The sequence below is a fragment of the Homo sapiens genome, chromosome 9 (genome assembly GCF_000001405.40).
Source record: "Homo sapiens chromosome 9, GRCh38.p14 Primary Assembly".
NCBI lineage: Eukaryota > Metazoa > Chordata > Mammalia > Primates > Hominidae > Homo > Homo sapiens.
This window is the reverse complement of record NC_000009.12, coordinates 23,729,473-23,756,432: the sequence shown is the minus strand read 5'-3', so window position 1 is coordinate 23,756,432 and position 26,960 is coordinate 23,729,473. Positions and strand designations below refer to the sequence as shown.

The window sequence follows — 26,960 nt, the reverse complement described above, 5'->3', positions numbered from 1 at the left end:
ACTCTCAGTTGTTTGAGGTAGGTCTTGTACTGACCTCATCAGCTGCTAACTAGAAACTTTGACAAAAGGGGAAAAAACAAAAACCCAAATATAAATTCCAGAGGGCCCAAAGAGATGTTGATTACCTCTGAGTAGGTAGTGCCTTGCATGATAAGGCTCCTGCCATGCCCCAGCACGCCTTAGGGCTAGTATCTTAAAATATTTTTTATTAATATGAGTGTTCTTAGCTAGGTTTATCTTGTGTCTCTGCTTGCTGAGAATTTTACAGCTAGTTTTGATCCTTCTTTATTCTATCAAAATAATGTGATTTCCAAACTATTTTAATGGCATAGGATTCTCTTCTTTTTAAACAAATACAATCTTAGCTCCTCAGGATTGAAACAGATAAGTGGTATTTTATTAGACTAATGGGAACCTTCAAATTTAATAGCACTTATTTCCTATGAGTCAATCACAGTGAACACAAAGCTGTTTTGATGAACATTAATTTGAAAATGTGATTTTGTATGTCAGTTACAGTTGTACAGTGAGCATGTGAAATGTCCATAGTATCAAGAGATCAAGAATTCTGATTCTTGCAGACCAGTAGTTGGAAACAGCAGGGTGGTTGGGTGGGTGGTAACTTAATAAACACCTCACTTTGCAAACTCTGTATGCTATTTAATTAGAAAGATGGCAGAAAGGTTGTGTGTGTTCTTAGGTCTGTAGGAAAGGAGATGCCTGCACAGGGGTAAATGCTTTGGTCCGCAGTGCGTTAACTGTGGAATACAGTACATTTGAATCTATTTTTAGATTTTAGTGCCCAAGTTTGTATAAAATGAAATTTGTGTCAAGTTTGTGGAACCTCTATTTTTGGAACATCTCTCATAGGCAAAAGGTAATGGAGAAACTTTATTTATATCTTCATTGATGTATCTTTAAACTTAATTATTTTTTCATTATATCTTGTTTCTTTGCCAAAGGTCTTGCAGTCATTTAAAAAATTTGGTGTTATCACTGTAGAAGCTTCATATAAAATTTTGGAGAAAGTCTTTAACATTTATTCTTCTAGGTTCACTTTTTACTTGAACCTGGGTATTTTTATAGAACAATTTTCAGTGTCAGCCTTGATTAGTTTAGTGGAAAGATTACAGGATGATGAAACTAGAAATTTGTAACATTTTAAGAAATCAAATACAGTACAGTTCTTTATCATTGTTAGGAAAAACAACTTCTGTCCTCTTTTGTTTAGTACCTGGGGACTTGGAAATTAATTGGAGAAATGGCACACAATTTTTGCTCGTATTTTGTGTTTGGGAGTTGACAGAAAAGTATTATAAAACTAAAGTGGTCAGGGTTGGGGGGCTTATATACCATTTTAACAAAGGAAAGGTTTGGACTTTGCGGAATAGGAAATCATGGGGAAGCGTTCAGAAAATATGTAGGGGTAAGTAATGACAAGATAAGGGCACTTTTAACAAGGTTGGTTTATACAGAACTGTATGCATAAACAATCTGATGTTGACTGTCTCAAGTAATGAGTCGCTTACTTCTGAACTGGTACAGGACAGAGAGACATCTTCCCATGGGAAATTTATACTCTGCTTTTAGGGAGAAAAGGGGAGGGCAGAGAACTCATCTTGCATCTGTTGACTTCTTATTTTCCTCAGCCTAAAATAATACTTGATGCCAGCCAGGCGCAGTGATTCATGCCTGTATTCTCAGCACTTTGGAAGGCCAATGCAGGCGAATCACCGGAGGTCAGGAATTCAAGACCAACCATGGCCAACATGGTGAAACCCTGATTGTACTGAAAATAGAAAAATTAGCCAGGTGTGGTGGTGCTGCACGCCTGTAGTCCCAGGTACTCACAAGGCTGAGGTGGGAGAATTGCTTGAACCCAGGAGGCAGAGGTTGCAGTGAACTGAGATCGTGCCACCGCACTTGCATTTCAGCCTGTGTGACAGAGCAAGACTCCATTTCACAAAAAAATAATAAAAAAAAAAAACTTAATGCCAAAGTGGAATATTTTGGGGTGGCAAATCTGGACCTTTTCACCATTCAGTAAGTTAATTCCCAGTTAACATCTCTTCATAAATCAAAGAGCTGCTTCTTTAGATAACCTGTGGTAATGAAGCCTTTAATGGCTAGTTGCTAGGATGAAGAAACATCTATTTGAGGATACAGAAAAGTATGAAACAATATTCTTCTCTAGTAATTCATTAATCATCCAGATTTGTTTCTCTGATTTCCTGATATTGATATTTGTGTTACTTGGTATTTTGTTCCGTTAGAATAAAATGTAAAAAAAAATATGTGTCACTCCCACGAGACAGTTATACAGTTTTCCAACAGCTGTCTTAGAGTGTTTACTGGGAAAATAAAGTTGAACCTATGGTGTAAATGAGGTTTAGGAGTTTTGATTTTGTGCTTTCCTAGCCCTTATCAGAGGAACTTTTAGAATAGCCGTATTTGCCTTACCAGTAGATTAGGAATAGTCTTCAGTAACCTTTCTCTTTGTTGCTTTGCTGGTTTGATAGAAAACACAAACTTTGTAAACATATTCAAATTCATAGAAAATAAAATTACAGTTGAAATTCTCTTGTAACATTTGCCCCTTTATAATTCAGCATAAGAGTGCACGTGTGCTGTTTGCTATTCCAGACCTTTTCTGGGGGGTAGTCTTTGTTTACTTTGCATCAGGAGATTGGTGGTATAGAAGAGACACCATTCTCAATTTAAGCGCTTGTCGTAGGAATGATGGAAAATGTCGATGAGGAAGATGGTGAACTAAAATGGAAATAGTTCAGTTAGAAGATAAAAAACAGTTAAATTGTGATATGAACTTGTTGCTTCTTTTTTTTGTAGTTTATAGAATTTTAAAATTCTGTTTCTTTGGTATGAAAATGATTTATACCCCCCATTTTTATGATGTAGTACAAAATCAACCTGTTTTTGACAGTTTTCATTCTATTTCACTACCTTAACTATGACACAGCTTTGGCCACCAGCCTTTTATTTTTTTTTTAACTTTGTTTAAATTCAGAATAGACCGAAGCACTTTTATTCTGTACCTGTTGGAACATTTCCTTTCAAATATTCCTGAACAGAATAGTTGATTATTGGAGCTAAAACTGTGCTTCAAAATTTGCCAACTTCTTTTGAGCTTGTTCTAAGTTAATTGACTTTCAGCTGAGTACACTGCTGCTACTGAACGTTGAGAGCTGTGGAAACCCTCAGAGTGTGCTTTTCCAGCTCAAAAGGTCAACTTTAACAGATATTTTCTGGCATTTTATTTGAGTGTCATTCGATTTGTCAGGTCTATACAGTGGCTTAATTAGCATGTTTTAGTCCTTAAGGTATTTGTTTTGGCTCTTTAAAGTTTTAGATTGTCAATATTTCAAAACCCTTGGATGCCCCTTTTATTGGTGTTGGGAAATGTAATCAAATATTTTTTGAGGGGCTGTAAATCACAGAGTAGCATTTGCTGCTCTAAGTGTTGTGAAGAAACAGATTCGCAGTTAAAACCATCTTTTCAGACTCCACTCAGTAATTTCTGACACCATATATCATCTTTATGTAATCGAGGGGTGATCATTCTGTATTGTTCTAAATTAGAACAAAGATTTACCTTATGCCTCCTTTAAGGGGGAAAAAAGCAAGACAGAAGTATTTAAGCTGTGTTTATAAGAGTTCCTTGGCTGGGTATGGTGGCTCATGCCTGTAATTCCAGCACTTTGGGAGGCCAAGGTGGGCAGATCATCTGACATCAGGAGATCAAGGCCAGCCTGGCCAACATGGTGAAACCCCGTCTCTACTAAAAATACAAAAATTAGCTAGACTTGGTGCTGGGTGCCTGTAATCCCAGCTCTTCAGGAGGCTGAGACAGGAGAATCGCTTCAACCCGGGAGGCGGAGGTTGCAGTGAGCCACTGCACTCCAGCCTGGATGACAGAGGGAGACTCTATCTCAAAAAAAAAAAACAAAAAAAAGTTTCTTAAGTGGTAGTAGGATTTACTAAACCCCTGTGTACACTAGGTTTGTTACTTAGTTTGGGATCAAGTTCTTGGGATTAAGTTTGAATCAAAATACCTTTGCTTCCTCCTGCTAGGGAGGTGGCCTACTGGACACTAATCTTAGAGCTTTTAGCTTAGAACATTGTTACACTTGGGTTCCAATTCCAGCCTAGCCACTCAATTTGTGTTGTGTCCTGTGTGTGCTTTTTGACTCTGAACGTCAGTTTCTTTCATAAAGTACCTAGCACACAGGGGTACTGTCTCTCTTTCCTGTCCTCTTCTTACCAGTTAATACCCATTCAGTTACGTGACAGTTGCAGACTTTTGTTTTTCCCCCCATAGGTAAAAAGTAGTTTTTGAAAAACATCTTGAAGTAGATCTGTTGTCCTAGATTTCTTGGAGTTTGTCATGATGTGGGAAGAATGCAAAGCTCATCCTCCATCCTTTGCTTTCTAGGTGATTTGACCAACATAATTGATTTTCCAGGGGTGGAACAAAGTAAGAATAGAAAGTGCGAGGCAGGACTTGGGAGCCCAGAATGATGATTAATGATATTACACCAGCCTTTATGAACTAGAGCACCGGAGTGTGGAATTATTGCTCTATGTGGTATTGTGTGAATGTTTCAGAATGAATTAGCTTGACTTAAAATATGAAGGTGCTCTCAAGTGAGCTTTCCAGTGAGCTATTACTGGGCTTTCGAAGGTCAGCAAGTTGTTAAATTGAGCCATGAAGTGTTGGTTAGATAAAAACCAACTGCGGCTTATTTTTACTTTTATTGACATCATCTTCCTTAAGATGAGTATCCGTTTAATATAAAACGTAAATACTATACTAAATAGTCTCATTTTATCAAAGATGATGTTCAAGTCTAGATATACAGAGACCTGTGTTTTGGGATGTTCAAAAACCTAATATTCCTGCAGTGTTAGCAGATCAGAAGGCTGAGGAAAAAAATTACTATCCCTTTGTTTTCTTTTCCATTGAAATATTCATTGAAAACATCTAAAGCATTTCTTCATTCAGTCATCACAGACTTTACAGATTTCAGTTTGTGTGTATGGGGGAGGGGGCAGTTTCCATGAGGGTATGGTTAACTTAGCAGATGCAATTTTACATCTTGTTTTCCTTTTTTGTTAAATCCTTATGCATATTGTGAATTAGAGTTTATTTTTAGCTCTTAATGAGTTCTTTTCTCATCATTGTACTTTTTGTTGGAACTCTGTTTTGTACATACTGCTTTGATTTTGTAGGGAAAATGTGTATGGCGTACAAGTCCTGTATCCACCACCCCCAACTCCCATCCTCTAGCTCAACAAAAATTTGCATTTCTTGGTGAGGGATGATAGACTTGAATGTTTATTACCTTGTAGAGTAGATCTGATGGGGCCCTTGACTCTTTACAACCTGTTTGACCTTTGGACTTAATACTGAGAAAGTCAAATCCTCCTTTTAAAGTAAAGTTTAAGGGAGGCATAGCTGTGTGTAAACTGGTAAATCAGAATCACTGCACTGTTTTTAAGGTCACTGGAGCCTGAGAGAACAGTTTTATTTCCTCACATTTTAATGCTTTAAATCCAGTCTTAAGGAGTTGCCTCCAAGGGTACTGTCGTACGAATCCTTTTTCCTAACCCTGGTACTAAGTAAGCCATGGGAGCTTTTTTCATTCCATTTAAATGAATTGTAGTTTGCTCTTATTCTACTTTAAATGTATCTAAACATTTTGAATATAAATGAGAGACTGATGGTGTATCAAATCAATTGACATCTTCTCATGTAGACAAGGGCTCTCCTAAATGACTTCCCAAATCCTGCCTCTAAAATTGTCTTTTTTTTCTTTTGTGAACCTGAGTATTAGGTTAGCTCTTTTTAAACATGGTGCCAAGTGATTTTGCCATTATATGGTGCAGACAGTGTACTACCTTCTCAAGTAGAATGATTTGGGATCTAATATCTTAAAATCTAACAATGTTATACCAGGTTTGTTTTTAGACCTTTATATTCTTTATTATTTGTTGTCCTTTTTTTATGGGGGTAAGCCCTTTTATACATATTGGAATAGGATTAAAATACAGAATTGTTAATACCGATTTGTTACTGTGTTTTATATCAATATGTGTATTTTTTTAAGTGCTGGAAATTGGGAGCCTTTGCAAAAAGGCGTGATAACATTCCATTATATCCCCAGCTCTAGAACATACAAAGCTAGTCCTGATGTGCTACTTAAAAGTAGAATATGGAATCTTCTGGGGTTAGTTTCTTACTCTATTTGATATTTTAGTTCTCTGAATGCTTATAGAAAACAATATATTTGGATATAGCCATCAAAGTAAGGAGGATGTCTAATATTCTTTCCTAGCCTTTATAGTTGGACAACCGACTTTTAAAGAGTCTTTTTTTTTTTTTTCCTTTTTTAAGACAGTACCCTTGGAGGCCACTGTGTTCATGACCAGTGACTCCTTGAGACTGGGTTTATTAAATGGACCTGTTAGTATAGTGAATAACAGCTCTTAGGTAATTTTGCGTAGTTGTTAGTAGGCACCAAAGGAGGAAGGGTGAGCGTTAGTTGCTCTATAGATTATAATGAAAGAAGGTCTCAGGCCAGATCCCACCACACATAGAAACCTCTATCTAGCAAGCAGGACCAAATTGATGGAGAAGCCTTTTCTGAAAGCTTGGTAAAGTCCCACTTCTCTCTTCTTTTTTAAGTGCTTTGAACACACTTTAAATGAAATGTTCACCGGAGGCTAACAATATCCCAAAAGTCACGTTCTGCACCCTCACTTTGCATCATGCAAAAAGAAATCCCTTTAAACAAAGACTGAAACCCAGGACCATTTAACATTTAGGGGTTCTCTCCATAAAGATATAACCACCTTGGATTATGCCACCTTGGATTTTGTGCCCTGTTTATACGAAGGTGGGAAGTGTCTCTAAACTAATTTAGCCCATCTGCGTATCTTGAACTCCTTTAATTTTACCGGTAAGACTCCATTTCTAACACTCGTTATGCTAATTAACAAATAACTGGCTTACAGAACAAAACCCTATTTTGACATCCATTAGGTGAATCAGCAGAGAATTGGTTGTTGATTTAGGTATGGATAGTATGTAGGCTTACACTAGTCACTTGAATTTTAGCCTACTTGTATTATACTAGTTAACTAATCCTGGATTGTGCATTAATGATAGTATGTTAGATGACCACCCAGAATTAAAGCTTAAATGGCTGGTGCACACGTGTCATCAGATTAATTCTAAACTTTAAAAAGAAATGTTTTTATTGTGGCAAAATATAACATAAAATTTATCATTTGAACCTTTTCAAGTTTACAGTTCAGTGACATTAAGCACATTCACAGTATTATGCAGCCGTCACCCTTATCCATTTCCAGTACCTTGTCATCATCCCAGATAGAAACTCTGTAACCATCAAACAGTAACTCCTCACCCACCTCCTTTGCTCCCAGCCTTTGGTAACCATTATATTTTCTGTGTCTCTATGAATTTGCCTATTCTCGGTACCCCATATAAATGAAATCATACAACATTTGATATACCAAAGTATTTTGAAAGTAAATTATGATAATTGTTTTCAGGAGATACTAGTTTTTTTCCCCTTGGGCTGTAGACTCTTCTGTATGTTTTATTTCTCTTCCTCTCCAAGTGGCTTTAGGGACCAACCCCTCCCCCTGAAATAAGTAGCCTGGCTTCAAATTTAGTTCATGCCACATTCCCCGTAAAAGAAACGTCCAATTAAAATACTGAATTTGTGCAATATTTTGCCAGATTGCTGACTACTTGCAGGGACTTCATCTTACCCCCTTTGCAGTTGTTCTGCCTGGTTTCAAGCTTGTTTTATTCTTTTGAAAATTGCCTTCAATCTCTTATCACTCCCCATCTTGGCAAGTTACCTGGAGGAAGAGGCAGTTGGTGTATGTACAGTGGGTCAGAAAGAAGAACCCAAGTAGTTTTGCTCCCTGGAAGTCTTCTCTGCCTTCATACTTTTCTACTCTTTTCTCCCAGAGAGTCAGAGCATCCAGGGACAAACATCCGTGTGGGGTCTTGGGACACAGGACACAGTGTGTAACATCCCCAGACTACTTCTCGTTACCTCACTTCATTCTCTGCTGAGCACTTGAAGGAAATCTTGGCAGAAAGCCATTCCTCAATCAGAGTCAAAGAGCGACGAGTTAGAAATTCTCTTCTGTAGTTTTAGTTCTTCCATTTTTTTCTCCCCCTTCCCTAGTACTCTTTCCCCCTACCCCTCAAGGAAGCCCCCCATCAATATAACAGTCAACCACCCAACCAGAAACCCACAGGACAGAGCCATTTCTTTTTTTTAGACCACTGGAACAATTATTGTAGTTAGAGAAAACTTAAATATCTTTCTGAAGCAACCTTGGGAGACAGATGCTGATGTATGTTGAAGCTAGAGAGGCAGGTGGTTTGTGGCCTATTTCTGCCTTTGCATTATTTCAGATTCTGTTACTGAGTAGAACAGTCCTTTTTTTAAAAAAAAAAATTTAGGTCTTATATCTTGGCCTCCTGCCTTCTCTGTTGGCATCAGCCAAATGCATGTTGGCTGCAAGTACATCATTCCACACTTAGTGACTGGATTTATTTTCAGACGTTGGCTATTGACAACTGAAAAGCAATTTCCTGTGTTGGGGCTTAACAGAAAGCCTCCCCTGGGTTGTAAGAGTTTAAAATAATGAAAAAGGTGAATACTTCATGGGTAAGTCTTAATGCAAGCTTTGTGTAGACTTATCCCCACTGCCTACTTTGCACTCATGTTTGTAGGGAGTTTCCAAAAGCCTCTGATTGAGATGAGGAAGGTCTTCTACCTCTGGAGCTGTAAGGTCTTGTCTTGATTAAAGATGACTCAAGCTTAACCAGTTGTTCAGTAGTCTTTGTCTGAGCTTTGGGTGTGCTGGAGAATATCAGCCAGTGTTAAGTTCTTGATTTCAAGTGGTGACTATCTGTTGAAGAGAGCCTGTGCCATGAAATACCGTAGTCCTCCCATTATCAACAGTTTCGCTTTCTGCAGTTTAGTTAACTGGTGGTCAACCATAGTGTTAAAATATTAAATGGAAAATCCCAGAAATAAACAATCCATAAGTTTTGAGTTGCTCACCATTCAGAGTATCGTGATTAAATTTTGCACCTTCCTGCCCAGGATGTGAATCATCCCTTTGTCCACATTATCCATGGCTGGTACATGTTCCCTGTCCTTTAATCACTTAGAATCCATCTTAACAGATCGGAAAAAAAAAAGTAGTGTATATTATGTTGGATTCAGTACTATCTGTGGTTTCAGTTATCCACTGAGGGTCTTGTAACCCCCAAGGATAAGGTAGGGGGTGGAGGACTACTGTACTCGGCTAGTGGAACTTCTTGTGGTATACCTCATGGTTCAAGGGAGGTAGAGAAGGAGGGAATTGTCATACTGTGAAGGTGGAATGCAGGATGTTCTAAATTGGTGCTTGTTTTGTTGAGCGAAGATGTAAAGTATAGTCTGGTCCACTAATGATTTGTTGATTATTTCATTTGATGATTAATATTGGATGCAGTCATTTATTTGAACAGAAATGAGAGAGGCTTTTTTTTTTTTTTTTCTTTTTCAGTTTACATGGAAAGACTTCTAAGGATGTTCGTGGATCCAAGACAAACTTGTCTCAGTCTTACATTTCATTAGGGTCCTTCTGTATTGGGGAATTCTCTTTCTTAGTATATTGCTGATGGGAAAAAGCTAATTCCAGAAGCCAGTTGGGTGGGTCCTCTCTCTTTCTGCCTGCCTATAGGCAAGCAGCCAGTAAGGAACCGAAGTAAAGTCAATTAGGCATTTTATCTCAGGACCTAGGGTCTCAAGGAAGTGATAGAAGGATAAGATGGTGATGATGACTCACCTCTCTGTTCTGAGGTGGGGGTAGTTTTACTTCCTACTACTTAACTCCTTGAAGTCTGGTTCCCAGCCCTTACTCATTCTGAAAACGCTCTGTGACTCTTCCAGTGTGTTTCTTTGTGCCAGTTAGGTAGAGTCAGTGTACAATCTAGAACTCCATTGAAACAATATTTATGTAATTCATATTTTTTATCTTTTTCTATCAGTGTTTTTTAACTCAAAAGTAAGCTTATTAATTTTGTATTGGTCTCAATTTGACCTATAAGAGAATAACTTTTGTAATTGGTTAGAAGCCCCTGTTGTGAACTTGCCATAGCTATTGGTAAAGGAGTTTGTTTTGAGAGGTGTGTATGTATGTATGCATATTTTGTAAATAAAGTCACTTGTCAGTGCCTTTCAAACAATTTACTCATATTTGTGTCACTTTGTTAGTGTTGGAGGAAAGCAAAGTTTGAATTTAATTTTGAAAATAGTAGGTGCAGTGAAGATACCGATCCTCCCTTCCAAGTCATCTCTTGTGACTTCCTCCCCCTTTTGATTATGTTTCTTGGGCACTACTTTGCTCACTGAGTGTGAGCAAGAACAACCTGAAGAATGACTGAGATGACTACTAGCAGTAGCATTCACACAGCAGGTCTTTTTGAATGTTTCATCTCTAGCTTTTAGTCTTCAGAGGTCAGTAATGTTTGGTGACTCCCATTGCTTTTAGTAGCTAAGGAGAGCCATATATCTTGTGGTAAAACAGATTTGCCTCTGAATGACCTACATTTATCTCCTCTGCTTATTTAGTGGTCATTTCTTTAAAACCCTTCAGTTAACGCTTTTGGTTTCCAGCCATGTAGGGACATGTGTATGCTTACAGGCATTATATTTCTGTGTCCTATGGGATAAGTAGTATATGTCATCATTAGGTTTTTGGACAGTCTTTGGTTCTCCTTGAAAAGATGCAAGTCTAGTTTTACCTTTATTACAGTATGTTTTTTTTCCCAGCAAGTAAGTCATTGATGGTGAATTGTAAATGTAATTGTTCAAAAAAGAATCTAGTCAATTTTGTGTTCTTCTTTGCAACCTATTAAGATGTTTGTGTACACCTAAAGGATTTGAATGGGATATCTGTTCAGGTAGCTTAAAGTGAAAAGATGGTGGTGGGTAGGGCAGGGGAATGACCTGGCCAAGATAATACCAGGTTATAGAGGATTACACAGAAAATCTTTGTATAATATCTTAATTTGGCTGTAGATTATACATTCAGAAAACATTCTTCTTTGGGGATTGTAAAAATCTACCATAGTTCCTGGTTATTTGATTTGTATTTTATTTGTTTCTTGAGACAGAGTCTTGCTCTGTCACTGCCCAGGATGGAGTGTGGTGGTGTGATCACAGCTCACTGAAGCCTCAAGCTCCCAAGCTCAAGTGATCTTCCCACCTTGGCCTCCCGAGTAGCTGGGACCGCAGACATGTGCCATTATGCCCAGCTAATTTATATATTTTGTAGAGACAGGTTCTCCCTATTGTTGCCTAGGCTAGTCTTGAGCTCCTGAGCTTAAGTGATCCTCTAGCCTCAGACTCCCGAAGTGCTGGTATTTGGGAGCCACTGTGCCCAGCCTGTTTTTTTGGTTTGTTTATTTTTAAAAGAATTTTTTTGCTTCATTTTCTTTAAGTCATAGATTACAATGACAGAGAGTGCAAATGAAGGAACAAATTAGCTTTGTAGGGAATAATGAGGTAAAAGTTCTAATTCCTTTACTATTAGATTTAATTATTATTTTTATTTTTATTTTTTTTCGTGGGGGGTGCGCGAGAAGGATAAAGAAGCCCAAAATAGTATAGTAGGCTTTTGTGTTAAGATCCATTTCAGTATATATATGTTTTCTTGCTAGAAAGTACTCTTGCTTGAGAAAAATAAAGTTTATAATCTAAGTAGAATCCTTAATAATGTTGTTGTCAATTAGGATAACTAGAATAAGCACTTAATAGGTTATATTCTGTTTGGGTACAGGGGCTAGTAAGTGATCTGGCAGCATACATATTTAAAGTTTTTCCCTGAATAAAGGAGATTAGTTTATAATATATAACTATTTTATTCCTTCATTAGAAATAGCAAGGAAGAAGTTTTCAGCAACAAAATAGGAAAACTCTTGACAGCATAGGCTATTGAATATTGGAATGAGCTGAAAAACTAGTTATTTAGTAAAACATTCATTTCTTCGAGTGGTGTACTTGTAATTGAATACCTAACATTTTGTATGGCATTCTACATTGTAGGAACCTCTTTTAACAAGAGTGATTCTAACACGCACATCAGAATCTATTTGTGAAACTTAAGGTGGAGACGGTAGAATAATAGGTGGGGGCGAGCATCAGAGAGTACCTTTAGTGCAGTTTCTTTTCCCACAGATGAGATCCCAATCTCAAATTCATAAGGCTAGTTAGCTGGAGGCCTTAAACTCCTAACCTCCTTTTCCTTAGGGACCCCTTTGTGGTAATAAGATGGATTCTTCTGATCCACTTGTCTTAGCCTTAATCTTAAAATGTGTTTGCCAAGTGGGCATGTAATGTGGCCCAAATAGCTGAGAAGCTCTGTGTATAGAAGTTACTTCCCACATCAGATGGTCCTTCATATTGTTTAATCTGGTGCCATAAAAACATAGCGCCTTCCCCAAGAGTGGGTCTCAGATATGTGAATAAGCAAATCGAGTAACTTCAGTAACAGCAGATTAAAGAAAGCATCACATTAAAAGTTTTTAAGATGAATTAAAATTGAAGTGTTGTTGAATAAGATTTTTTTAACCCTCTACCCTGTTATACATTTAAGAGTACTTGAGATGATAAAATGGTAATATGTTAAAATTATTTTTGTGTTTAGGTTTTTCCTGTTTCATAGGAAAGATGTATCCAGAATTAGCAGCAATGGTCAGATGTACTAAGTTGCTGGGTATATGATTTAGATAGTTCGTTTTTAATATACTTTAAAGTCAGTGGTAAAAGACAAGACAAGCCTCTGTGCTCTGCTCATTCGGCAGGATAATGCGTTTACTATACCATGCTGATGTGGATGGTGCCACATTACTTTTGTGTCCTAATGAATCATTGTCTAGGTAAAATCTTTTTAGCAAAATCTTCCTCAAAGTATCCGTGAATTTTAAATTTGGAGGATTACAATAGCTAATCACTTCAACTTTTGGATGAGGTGATTTGGGAAGAAATGCTTATGTGTGATATGAATGTGGCAATCGTAGGAGCTGCACCATTTTGTACTTCTCTTTAGGAGCCATCTGTTAATTGGTGGGCAAGTTGCCCTGTGGTCTCAGAGTGGTTTGCTGTAGCATAAGCTGTCCCTGAGCAAAAACAAAATTGATACTTATTTCTGTCAGGGTACCTCTTTGACTTAATTCGTAGCCATGGTTCCCATCTGACCCATAGCCTTTACAACTTTAACCATGTACAGCTCAATTTCCTCTGGGGACTGTGTTCCATTAGGATTCCTTTTCTTTATTGCTTCAGAGAGAGTGTTCTTGAGGTTTGTGAAGCTGTGTCTGTAGTATTTAAATAGGTTTCCTTTATACTCAGCATTTATACCCCCACCAGCCCAAACACCATCAGTCTGTTTTGGAATTTTTCCTAAGCATGTAAAAATCAGTGCTGTGTGTGACTATTTTAAGTTTAGAGGAAAGAAAGAAAAATGTTCCTCCTACCCTCTTGATTAACTACCTCTTCATTAACTATAAACTAAGCAACATGTCCTGTACAAAGAGAAGAAAAATCACGTTATTTATACTTAATCCTTGTGTCGACTGGGGACGATGGATGTCCTTTGGAAATTTACTTCCTTTGTCTTTGCTAAAAATACCTCTAATTTAATTCTGCTCTTTCTTTTTGATATAAAAGGAATTACAGTGGACATTTTCCCCCCGGTGGAAGGGTTGTACATATCGGTCTATAGCAGATACTTTATGATCAGTACACATAAGGTGAAATATGTTTTTATTGAAACACCTGATCATGTGATGCTACCCAATATTCCCTTCTTAATGACTCAGCTTCCCTCCCTCTTTCACTCCTTTTCTAACTTGATGTCACCATATTGTATGCGAAGGACGTAGGTATGTACGTGCATTCACAAGGCATGTGTAATTTTGCAGTTGCTACTCAGTTAAAAATAAGGTTTGTTAACACTTGCAGTAGTTTTTCCCCATTTACTGTGGTAGTTATTAACACTTTGTCCACTCATAATAGCAGCTTAGCTTGGTCGGGGGGCAGAAAGAGGATTGAGGTACTTGTTTTTACAGCTGTGTAAAGGAGGTCTCAGAAAATCGTAAGCCCTGCCTGATGTAGTCATCTTGGGTTTAGCTTTTTGGTGGTTGGGGTTATCCATATCTGTTAGTTTTATAGTGCAAGAATACTTTCAAGGCTGCTGAGTTGGTGTGTTGTATTAATCTCTGGGTATTATGGTTCAAAAGGTTTCTTGCCCTTCTAGTTACTTTTACAAAGGCCAGATGTTATCATGCCAAGGAAGTATGGATCCTCCTGGGACACAAGGAGTTGCTAGGTTTCAATCCTGGCCATTACTCTAGAAGGCCTGTAACCGAACCCAGGTTCAGCTGCTTGCCACTTGAAAGCCAGAACACAAGAGGCAAGGATTGGTGGAAGGAAAAGCATTTTTAATGGGAGCCAGCAAACTGAGAAGATGGCAAACTAGTATTCTAAAGTACCATCTTCAATTTAAAAATTTACCGTAGGGCTTTCAAAGGGAGAAAGGTATGGGAGACGTGCAGAAGTGGTGCAGGATCTGTGTGTCTTGTTCAGTGGCTCTCTCAGGTGTCTGAAGGTCTAATTGGCATTATCTTGACTTTGGCTCAGTGGTGGTGGACTAATTATGACTCCTCCTAATCATGAGGATTTTGCAGTGGGGACTCTGTTCCTGGTTTGTTTCAAGATTAGCCTGTGGGATTTCTTAAGAGCCTAAGTAGATAAGCATGGATTGCCTAAGGGGGAGTGTCTAGAGAGGGAAGGAATAAAGAGTTGAGAGGGGAGGGAAGAAGGAAAAAGAATGTGGGTGATTTCTAACACTGAGGTCCCTAGTTACAGTCTTACATCTGCATCTGCTCAGTGATTATACCAGGCCACTAAGGTGACTGTCCCTGGGTCCCTCGTGTGCCTCCTTCCTCATTGTGCCTCAGTGCTTGGTGCATCCTGCAGTTTGTCTGCTGTAAACCTTCACATGGGCCAGTCTTGCTTCCAGGATGGGGGGTCGGTTTGCTTACCTCTACATAGATGCCTTACGTTCAGCGTAGTATGCTTTTGGCTTGTCTCTTTTATACTTCTTTACAAATTTGTTCTTCTCCATGTTCCTATTACCTTAATTTGTTTGTCAGGAAACACCTGAATTTCATCTTCTCTGTTTTGACACACTAAAGAGTTCTCTTTTTCAAGCTGGTCCTGGTTAAGCCTGAAACCCCTGCGATGCACTTTATGTATTTCATGTTCATTAGGTGCCTGCCTCTCTCCCTTGTTTACTGTGTTGGGCTTAAAATTTTTGAGCATCTTAGAGGGCAGAGACCATGTGGTATTGATCCCATCTTTTTTCCACCGCTATGAAATCATGCTATGCGTATGAAAGCATTTTAATGCAATCTGCTGAGGAGAGAAATGTCTTGTGTGGGAGACCGTTTTGGCAGTAGCAAACATGTTTGGCTTTAGCCATAAGAACTGCTTTCTGAGTTTGGAAAAGGAGTATGTAAATCAAGGCCCATTTTAAATGGATCTTTTTATAATGCAGATACCTCTCATCTATCTGTTTTGTAATGATGGATTTGTTTTGGGGGCTTAAGTGGTTTGTGCACCTGCAGGATGTCCTTCCTTTTCTTTCAGGTCATTTTTTTTTTCTTTCACAGATAGTCTCTTGGATGGATTAAGAAAGAATTGAAGTTCCAGTCAATTTATTTCATGACAAAGAACAAGAAAAAAATACAGATGTATTTGGAGATTATAAATATTCTGATTGGAAAGTTGTAAACTTTGGATGTACAGGATTCTGCCACAAAGTAATTTCCACACATGGCCAAAGGCAACAAAGTGTACACTTTTGAAAGACTGAGTTTGGAAAGGTTGATTGTAGTGTGGAAACCCAGCTGCTCCTTTGAGCTAGCTGTGTGTGCCCTTGAGCAAGTTAACTTAGCATCTTTGAACCTCCAACTTTATGTCCGTAAAATGGATACAGATGTATTTACATGTAGCCTTGTGGTGAGAATTAAATGTGATATATGTAATGTAAGGATCCTAGTTGCTTGATAGTTTAGTTTGGCAGTGGTACTGTTGACTGCCAGACAGGTAGACATAGCATTTATGGGGCAGTGGGAATGGGCATTTTTCCCCGACAAACTTACTGACTTTTTCATACTGGAAGGTTTGGGCTGGTGAACCTTTAACTTTTGGGTGAGAGAGTGATTTTTTTAAGAAAAATGTGTTCAAGAAGAAAATTTATCTCTAACGAGAATTTTTGTTTCACATGGACTTGGTGAGTTTGTTAGAGTCTAATTTTATAGTTTCCCGTTCTTGACAAAATGGGGAGCTCTCCATGGTGGTTTGCAGGGACTCTGACATAGTTTCAAAACAGGGCCTTTAAATTTTTTGTTTCTTGTGGTATCTGAGTTAAAAAATGATCTTGTACAGAGAGAAAAACACATTAAGAAGCTGTACTGCCTCTTGATGGACTGCTTAGTGGGGGGGGTGTGTGCGTGTGTGTGTGCAGGCACAGGCAAGAGTGCATGTTTGTGAAGATTGACACCAGCTGGTCGCACAAGCAACAGCAGATGCCCTTTTTACTACCACAGTTAACTTGTTTTCCTCTACCACAATACTATTTTGAGGAATACAGTTCCTTTGCCTTCATCCCAAATGGTATATACTTGAACAACTCCATTGTCTTTTAAGTAAACACAAGATAAAGCAGATAATATAAGACTGTTAGTGTGTGTGGGGGTGGGGGTAGGGGCGGTGGCGGATCTGTGTAGAATTAATTATAATTAACAAAGAAATGAGAAAGTTGCAGCATACCCAAACTTTTAATTGAAAGTAGATTGGACTAGCCTAGAGTTGTTAATGTCCTAACCTTTTTTGAACTGTCAGGTATGACTTTCAGGCTATCTGAAGGTATTTTGGCATTTGCTCTATCCTGGTGGCAGCTCCAGTGTTTGAAGGTAGAACTGCTGACCTATCTTTTAGAGAAACTACCTATATCAATAAGTGATGAGAACCGCCTTTTGTTTTCATTGTGGTGCTGAGCGTGCTACACTATCTCAGTCACTTTCTTTCAGGCTGGAGAACCTGCTTTCAGGTAGAGTCTCATCCTGTGGGTTGTAGAGGAATTGGTTTATTTTCCTACTGCACATAATTTTTCCTCATCTTCCTGGTCTTGGATGCAAGATATCTTTGTGTACCCGGTGTAATACTTGGCAAGAATTTAGAGGATTTAATATGCTGTTTCTGTTCTCAATAGTCTAAGACTGAATTGTGTGGGAGTTCTTAATGTTGTCTGAAAATGTGATATATTAAGAACCCACAGTATCGCCAACTTAAGCAGGGTCATGCCGCATTGCCAGCAGATTCATAATTACTGGGACTGGAACTACAGGAAAATAGAGCTCTACCAGTTGCATAATCAGGGGACAGATATGGCTATTAAAATTAACTTGAAGGGAAAATGCCCTGGTGCTGAGGACATTAACCGCTCTCTCTAGAATTAGGCTGCTTAGGTAATATTTACCAAATGATCACTATTTGCAGCTTTGATTTCAGCAGAAAAGTTATGATTTAAACTCTTCTATATTAGCTCCATGTATCTGTAAAGTCCTGAAAATCATTTAGAAACTTTGGGGCCTTTCAGTCTCAGGCCAGCTTTATTAGCATTTGGGTGGAAGATGAGTCTTCGAGTGAGCCATCTGTTTTCTGTATTATGTGAGTGTCTAGGTTGAATTCTCCATCCTTGTGATAATCCCTGGTAATGTCCTTTGGGAAGCTGGTAGAAATGCTCCCAGCTTTCAGGAAGGCTGGCTTGGACTGTAGTAATAGGATCTCACCAGTCCTCCATCTCACAATTTGATCTTACTCATTAGAGGGCAGCAAGGAAGACCTGTTTAACTTGACCCACCTTAACTTGAGTGTTTAAATGGAAGGACCTGCTGCATCTGGCATGCTACATTTGAGGAGACTCAGGCTAAGTCAGGAATTAAAATGTGGAGAAAAACGTGACTAGAGAGAACTGCATCCCTCTGTTCTGAGATTCTCTCAAACCTTTTCCCTGCTGTGTGGTACCCACATGGTTTTGCTGTGTATCAGATCTGAGATATTAAGAAAGCTCCTTTGTGAAGTCTGGTGCGAGTTGCTTTGGTGCCAGAGTTGCAGTGCACAGCCTGTCTGAACAGACACACATAATGAGTGCCCAAGAACAGTAAGTCCATCTGAAGAAATACAATATATTTGCAACTTTATTGTGTGTTTGAGGGAGGAGAGAGAAGGATATCAGGAGGCAACAGGGTCTTTATTAAAAACAAAAATTTTCCCCCTTTGTAACGAAAACTTGTTTTTGCAAATCAAATTATTTGCTTTTTTTTGTCGTTAAGGCATGCAGTTTTATGCAAGAGCTGTGTTTGGAGGAAGCGAATCTTTCCATTTTGCTTTTTAAAAGTATTGCATTATTAAACCTCAGGTTGCAAGTCTTCCTTGACAGAGAGGACCATAGTGACCTGTTTCTGCTAACTGTGGGATTTGAAAAAGATTCACACGGCTTTTATTCTTTTATTTCATAAAACATTACTACTGCTGTAAATGGAATAATAGATACACATCAATCAGTGTAGTCACCTTTTATTGTTGATTCAACTACCAGGTTTTTACAGAATTCACTCTGCATTTTATTTGACTTGTACATGAATAGTCTCAGCAGACTTAATTATATTAGTGAAAAAGTACTTTCAACAAAATTATATGCTGACATCCCATAATTCATACTTACCGATTTGTGGAACAGATTTATGTAAATCTATCAAATTACTCTAGATGACACTTTTTAAAATTGAGACTTCATCTTAATGGTATTTGTAGAAATTTTTCGTATGAACAATTTTACATGAACTATTTAAAACTCGTATGACTTCCTTATGAAGGCAGAATTACTATAACATTTGAGCATCTTGTCTCCACAAGTTCTGTAATCCATCTGGTACAATGTAGGGACATGAGGAACATGTTTATAAGGGCAACTATCTCCTAAACCACAGGCTCCTGGAAGGCAGATGCTGCTGCTCCTTCATTTGTTTTTCATTCAGTCATTCACAGAACATTTAATGATCTGTCTTAGGGTCCTCCTTGTCAGGAACTATGTTCTGCTTGCCCTTGCTCAGCAGTCTAGTGAGGGAGCATCCAAATGGACCCCAGACACACATAACAAAGATAACGGAATAATATAAGAAGCTGTGGGAGGACTAGTCGAGAGGAGCACTGTACAGTGTGCACTGGGGATGGGGCAAGTTGTGGCAGGAAATGACTTCAGAGAGTCTCAAAGGATACATGGGAGTTGGCTAGTTGGAGAGCTGTGTTCCAGACATAGAGAACTGAATGTGCATTTTAGGGTGTATGTGTAGGAGTGGTGGAAGATGAGCGAAAGTAGAAGTGAGCAAAAAACTGACAGTGACTGGAAACCAGAGTATGGTTAGATTTGTGTTTTAAGAAGTTCTCCTGGACAATGTTTTGGTGGAGGATGGCTGTTTTTGGAATTAATGGGAGTCTAAGCAAGGGTTGTCCTATTAGGATAGTGTAGCAGTGATCAGGGCCAGAATAATAGAGAACCAATGCTAACGCAGACAAGGGGCCGATTTAGCTGGTAGGACTGGCAGAACGTGATGCGGGTGTGGCAGAACTTGGGCTGGAACGTCTTGCACATCTTCACTGTTAGACTTGAGCTAGTTCCTTCAAGCCTTGGATCAAATGTTACCTGCAGGATAGGGCCTGCTCTGACCATTGTATTTAAACAGCAGCCCTGCTCCTCCCCTCCCCACTCTCACCCCCTGCTGCTTTTTTCTCCTTAGCTCTATTTTCTTCTAATACCCTGTAGAATGTGTTCCTGTCAGAATATAGGCTTTATGAGAAAGATCTTTTTCTCCTTTGCATTCTCAGGGCCTAGCAAAAAGTATGGTTCCCATAGTTATTGAATGCTTATTGTAGATGAGAAATTTGTAGGGTGACTCTTGTTTTTTTTAAATACAAAATTTTATTTTCCACAATTTTGTGTTGAGGGTCTTGTTTAATATTGGTTGGATAAAGTTAATATACTTTTAATCAAGAATTACGGTAGTCTATTGCCTTTACCTTTAAACCTGAGGGGGTAATTTGATTTTTCTGAACATTGGTAGTAATTTAAAATAGAAAAGACTAAATAAAGTGACCTTTGAATGAAACAGGTCCAGAAGATTGTGTATTTTTAATTAAAATATGCAATTAAAATTTTAATTAAAGTAGGGTATTAAAACAATGTAGGTGGCAGGGGAATAGCTGATGCTTTGAATTACACACAGTTTGGGATATATTGCCATTTACTGTGTTTCCCACAGTAGCACTTTGCCACTAAACGGGTTTTCTTCCTGTTTTCCTCTCCTTGCTCTGAACCCTGCTCTCAGTAGTCTTTGGTCCTCTTCAGAGGCCTCTGGAGTGCTTCAGCTCTGTGGTATAGATCCCTTGACCATGATTTCTACCAGCCTGTTTATAACTGTTCTCCTTGTGCCAGGAGCATCTTATAAACTATTTTTCTATCTCTTGTGAAGAAGGGTTTCTTTTCTGTGGCATGTATGTTAGATTAAAAAGAAGCGTGTGAAACAAAAGGCATTCATACACAACAGTGCAGCACAGAATATAGCAAAAGTTCTAGAATCCCTACCAAGGCCATTAAAATCAAGACTTTGGGCCAGGTACGGTGGCTCACGCCTGTAATCCCAGCACATTGGGAGGCCGAGGTTGGCAGATCAGTTGAAGCCAGGAGTTCGAGACGAGCCTGGCCAACGTGGCGAAACCCTGTCTCTACTAAAAATACAAAAAAATAGCTGGGTGTGGTGATGCATGCCTGTAATCCCAGCTACTTGGGAGGCCGAGGCAGAAGAATCGCTTGAACCCAGGAGGTGGAAGTTGCAGTGATCCGAGATCATGCCCACTGCCATCCAGTCTGGATGACAGAGAGAGAGACCTTGCCTCAAAAGAAGAAAGATTTGAATTAATGGTTTGAAAATTCTTAGAACACTTGACCACAGGTAGCTTCTGAGAATAGCTGAGGACACGTGGCATTGAGCCTCTTCTTTATGTTCAGTTACCAGGCAAATTTTTTGGCATTTAAAGACAGGATTTGTTTTTCTTAAGGGCTTTTTTTTTTTTTTTTTTTTTTGAAGAGCCTTAGCTTTGTCATTTTGGTCAGAATAGTCTTTTAATCATGTTGGTTTCCATAATGGTTGTACTTGGAATTTAAATGTAGCATCTTATAAAACTTTTTAAAGAAATGAATCTTAGTTTGGGGATTATCAGTATGCACATTCTAAATTCAGAGAGACTTGAAAAATAGGTTTGGATGATATGGATAAGTGATGCTTGGTTTCCAAGCCTTCCCTGGTGGCCCATGACTTACTGATGAATATAAGAGTGGGAAAAGGGTAGGTAAGGTATTTTTTTTTGTAATGTTTGCCTTGCTACTGCTTTTATTTTTAAAAACTGTGCGCTCATTTATAACCAGAAATATGCACTATATAAATAAGATGCAATTTATGTTGTCATAGGAATGAATAATGGCACTGAAATTCATATATAGTAAAACTGATATTTGTATAAAAGGTACAGAAGTTTGAGATAGTAATCAAACAAGAAACAACTTTTGCGGTAAAAGTGTCAGAAGTGCCTGGTTACGTTATTATTCAGGCATATTGGGTACAAACTAGTCCTGGGCTTATACGCAATATGCCTGAAGTCTCAGTTCAGGTATAAACTAGTTAATTGAGTGGAGTAGAGCACAGCATTTGAAAGTCCTGACTTCAAGTCCTGACTTTACTACTTCCTCCCTGCCTTTTTGATTTGTAGAAGCTGATTGACCTTGCCAAGCTTCAGATATCATTTCTACCTTGTAGGAGAAGAATCTGAATACCGAACATGGTTAATGTGAAGCTACAATTAAACAGTAAAATACCATGTAGCTAAAAGGTGAGAATGGGGAGGCTTGCCTATCTTGGTATCATCTGCGATACCCTTAATATATTTTAAACATCCAATAAATATTTGCTGCCTTGATTACAGATTTTCACTGTAAAGTAATTTAAAGTTCTAACTCCCTTTTGTTATAGTGCCAACATTTTAATACACCAACGATGGTAGGTTTAGGAATGCAGTCTTTTAATAGCAGATACCCCCTTTCATATTATTTTGCTTAGGATAATAATACAGTTTTGCTTACCTCAAACATATTCTGAGTGGCACTCATCCTAATAATGCCACTAGGCAAATAAGAAACTTTTTATAAGGAGGCAAAGTCATTTGGGGATAAATATTTCTGAGTATAAACAACTTAACAGATACTAGATATTTGACTGACTCATATAGCTAGTCATGATTGCTTGAGGGTATCAGGTGGAAGACCCATTTGATGGTTGGGTCTTCTGATGGTGGTGGTGGTGATGATGATAATACCTTTGGTTAAATAAATAACATCAGTAAGTTTCTCATTCTTTCATTTAGCAAATGTTTCCATGCCTACAGCAGGCCAGGAGTAAGGGTTCAGAGGCTAGAGTGGGAAACAGCTAAGTAGGAAGTAAGCAAGACAGGCTTTTCACTTTACCCAGTGATCTAATCTCAGTAGGCACTCTTGTGCCCCAGACAGACCTCAGGAGGCCAATAAACTGTTTCTTTGAAGTAATAGGTAACTTGAAGATTTTAGAAGAAACACATCCACGTGTACCTAAACAACGCAACTGTGAAACAGCAGTCATCCCTGCAAGACCTTTCTTAGACCTCCCAGCAGCCCCGTTGTAGCCCCAGCTAGGTTCTCACCATTAAGGCAGTGATTTCTCAACATGGTGGTTGTACGTTAGTCACCAGGATTTTAAAAAGCTAGTACCAATGCTTCATGACAGACTGATAAAATCAGAGCCCAAGGTGGGAGGATCGCTTGAGTCCAGGAGTTCAAGCATGGCCCAGCCAATGTAGTGAGATCTCATCTCATATACACATATATATACAGACACAAACACACATATATGTATATATATCTATCTATTTTTGGGAGTGGGATTCGGGGATCAGGTTTTTTTGTTTTAGTTTTTTTTTTTTTTTTTTTTAAGCTTTCTAGATGATTCCATTGCAGTCAAGTTTGAGAATGCACTGGGGTTAGAAGCTGCTAAGATGCAGGAGGAGGAGTATCTATCAGTAGAAAGGGCAATTAGACTATGCTGATACAATTGATTTATTTTGTCATAGAATAGCAGTATGACAAAACTATATTTGTATTGCCCTTTTCTTTTTCTGTTATATTTGTGGCATCTTTTTTATTTAACTTTAAATGAATATACTTAAAATCTTTAACAGTAAGCATGTTATTTTTTCTCATGTTATCTTTTGACTAGGGTGACGATCCACTTTCATCATTAATGAATATTTTCATCATTGCATCAGCAACCTAGTTGGGTAGGAATTACCCTCGTTTTAGAGAGAAGGAAGCTGTGGTTCAGAGAGGTGTTAAGTAGCTTCTTCAAAGTTGCACAGCTAACTGCGAGCCAGTAAACACCAGAGCCGGTATTGGAAGTCTGTCTTTCCACTATAAGCTGGTTCCTTGAGCAGATTTTGTTACATTCAGCCAATTTAATTCTACTCAATGACAATAGGACTGCAACACATTTTCATAAGAGGGGCACAATGCATGCAGTAAACACATGATAAATTTTGAATTAATGAAAAGCTGAATGCTTAAAAATACAGTGGCTTCACATGTGACTCTTTACTAGAACTGTAAAATAAAACCTCAATTTTAGTGTGAGATGAAATTAACCTAATTAGTTTTTAGCTCTCTATTCCTTTCTCTTTTTTAAAAAGGAAAAAATACATTTTGATAGAGGACATATATTAGCAGTGATTATCCAAAATTCTGATTGTGGTCCCAAAATATAATCACTAGTTTTCATATTGGGCACTGTATTTAGCCTTCTCTTTTCGTTTATGTGGTAACAAGTATCCACATTAGGATAACCAGAGTAGCTGTCCTAAAAACCCACATTGATAACCACTTGCACCTACGGTGCCCCATCAAGAAAAAATACCTCACTTCCCTATGAAATTGATGCAACAGTAGTACTTAGTAAAAGCATTTGGACCGTCCTTGGGCATCTGGGAAATCGTCATTTAGTTTGTTTTGACTTTTGTAGACTAAACTTTTCTTATGCCATTTTTGTCACCTGTATAATGTTTCTTGCCATTTCAAACTGAGAAACTTGCTTCATTGAAAAGTTGAGACCATTGCGATTGACTTTAGTTATCTTTGCATTCCATTGATGCAACTGCTTTTGATAGCTCCCATTGTCTGAGATCTAGGGCATCAGTGAACCAGGAGTGAGAGGGCTCAGATGATGGGGGGAGGGTGGCAACAACAACAAACACTTAGAAGCAACTTTTACTCTAGACTTTTTTTCTCCTGTTATTTTTGTTTATGTTCTATTTCTTCTTTTCCTATATGTTCTCATTGTCTTCGATGTCATCCCTGTAAGTCTTTTGTGTTCATATTTTCCTGTTCTTATCTAGATCATAAAACCCTCTTTGGAGAAATTTGATTGAGTGTATTTGAAGATAAGCCCTCGTCTAAAATAAACTTACATGTATACACGCCCACACATGGTTCTTCACCATTTTAGACTCCGACATTATTGTACTTGGTAAAGGCTGTAAATATGTCAGGGTACAATTTACTGAACACTGACAGATTCTTGGTTGATGTTTTCTGTCTTCCCATTTTTATGGCTAAGGAAACTGAAGCTGAAAAGGTATTGCCTGTTAAGCCCTCTCCATAGCACAGAGATTTATCCCCACAGTTTATGAAGCTGACCTTGTCTTGCTGATGGTATACTCTGGCTCAGGCAGGGCATGGATGGTGGAATCCTTTGGGGATGTGTGTTTTTTTTTTCCTAAACAGCACTGCTTGCTGAGTTCTAAAACTTGAAAATGTAGTAGACAGGAGACATAAAGACTTCATGTATATTTCTAGAATTAATAGAGAGTTCTTTTTACTGTTGAGGAAATATGCTGGTGTTAATGACAAGACCATATGCCAAAATGAAAGTTGATCTCTGTCAACAGTATAGAACTAATATATGCCTTTTTCCCCTTCCTTTTCATTAGGGCAGAGCTTGGGATATGGCTTTGTGAACTACATTGACCCCAAGGATGCAGAGAAAGCTATCAACACCCTGAATGGATTGAGACTTCAAACCAAAACAATAAAAGTATGTTTAAAGTTTTTTTATATCTACTTGCGGAACAGAAGTTTAAAAAAATTAAGATTTATTTGTAGTTCTTTCCTTTCTTCCTTTTGGGCCCATATAAACAGTTACCTGGGAGACATAGTGGAATTTTGGTGTTTGTTGCAAGATGGAAGAAACTGTTTGTTCAAGAGTGCTATGTATAATCATTCATGTATTCGCAAAGGGGGACAGAGCAACAACTCTCTTAGATAAATGTTATAGGAAGCCTACGGAATCAAGTCTCCTTCCCTTATAGAGAATTACTTGCCCTATAACTTGAGGAAACCTTAGACTTGTTCTTCTATAAAGGTCTGGGTAGTGAATAAGCAAGGTTTTGCGAGCCATGCATTCTGTCACAACTTCTCAACTCTGCCTTTATAGTATGAAAGCAGTAATAGCCACTACATAAACAAATGGATGCAGCCGTTATCCAATAAAACTTTATTTATGGGCAATGAAACTTGAGATTGATAAGATGTTTATGTATTACAAATATTCTTTTTATTTTTTCCAAGTTAAAAAATGTAAAAACCATTCTTAGCTCATGGGTTATACAAAAAGGTGGCAGGCTAGATGTGGTGCTTGAGTTGTAGTTTGCTCTAGCTAATTCAGCTTGCTTTGAGGAGACTGACTGGAGGAACTTACATGACACAGGTTATTTTTTCTGTTGTTTTTCTTTTTAAGACGTACAGTAAATAACTTTGTACATACTTTGCTGCTTTTGTGAATCTTTGAAATTCTTATGTAGATTCTCTCTTGAGAGGGAGCTAATCTAATTCACAGCATAGATTTCTTTTCCTTTAGAAAATAAGAGGGATGTCGCCTCTAGCAAATTCTTAGTTAGCTGTACCATCAATTTGCCCTCTCCTGCCCAGTGCAGACATTGCCAGTCAATCATGGCACTCTTTCTCACAGAGTCTAGATGTGGCTCCCAAATATTTTTTTCAAAATAGTGTTCCAGACAACTTCTATCAATTGACTCAAGTTTGAACCTATTTTCCACCCTTGATTTAAGAAACCAGCTCAGACTATAGCCTGAAGTGGTGAGGGGAAGTTAGTCAAGGCTGACTGTAGTATCCATCTTGCTTAGAGACTTGTGTAAAAGATTTTTGCTCATTTTTTTCAGGTATCTGGAAATGAAGTGTCATTTTTGTGCTTTAAAGTTGCTTTTCTTAGAATTACCAGTTAAGGTAATTTATTAGCCCTGAGTGGTTTTGACACATCAGTCTTTATATTTATTGGCCCCTAAGAAAAATGCCTACCAGCCCTGTCTTATCTAAATGAAAGTATATAGTGGTTCCCAAATATACTAGGGTATGAGAGGTCCAAGAATTCTAGATACTTCTTGAGCAAGAAACTGTTCTATGAAAAGATTCACCAATCAGAAAATGAACTGGTTACTGTATATTATCAAAATGTGAAGGGAAAAATGAGATTTCCAATAAAGTGTAAGACAAGTTTGTTTTGAAGTTTTTTCAGTCTGAACTGCTTTTTCTCGTTATCTATATTTCTCTGCATACTTTCTGTGTCA

General features: G+C 38.2%; 1 protein-coding gene across 59 annotated transcripts in view, besides 1 other annotated feature; it reads left to right on the top strand.

Annotated features, from left to right (window-relative positions):
- Positions 1-26,960, top strand: part of ELAVL2 (ELAV like RNA binding protein 2) — a 160,498-nt gene that overhangs the window by 94,169 nt on the left and 39,369 nt on the right. For 58 of the 59 annotated variants that reach the window (XM_047422916.1, NM_001385694.1, NM_001351466.2 and 55 more), the window contains one exon: positions 25,308-25,411. In XM_047422916.1, coding sequence (XP_047278872.1) covers positions 25,308-25,411 — 104 coding nt within the window. Of the gene's footprint in view, positions 1-22,010; positions 22,131-25,307; positions 25,412-26,960 lie in introns of those variants that run through there. The other variant, XM_017014426.2, reaches the window with a different exon arrangement.
- Positions 8,759-9,258: an enhancer, noted in NCBI's record as "H3K4me1 hESC enhancer chr9:23747173-23747672 (GRCh37/hg19 assembly coordinates)". NCBI's record gives its function as "activates a minimal SCP1, AML or CMV promoter by ChIP-STARR-seq in primed H9 embryonic stem cells {active_cell/tissue: H9 hESC(primed)}" and the evidence as "EXISTENCE:reporter gene assay evidence [ECO:0000049][PMID:30033119]".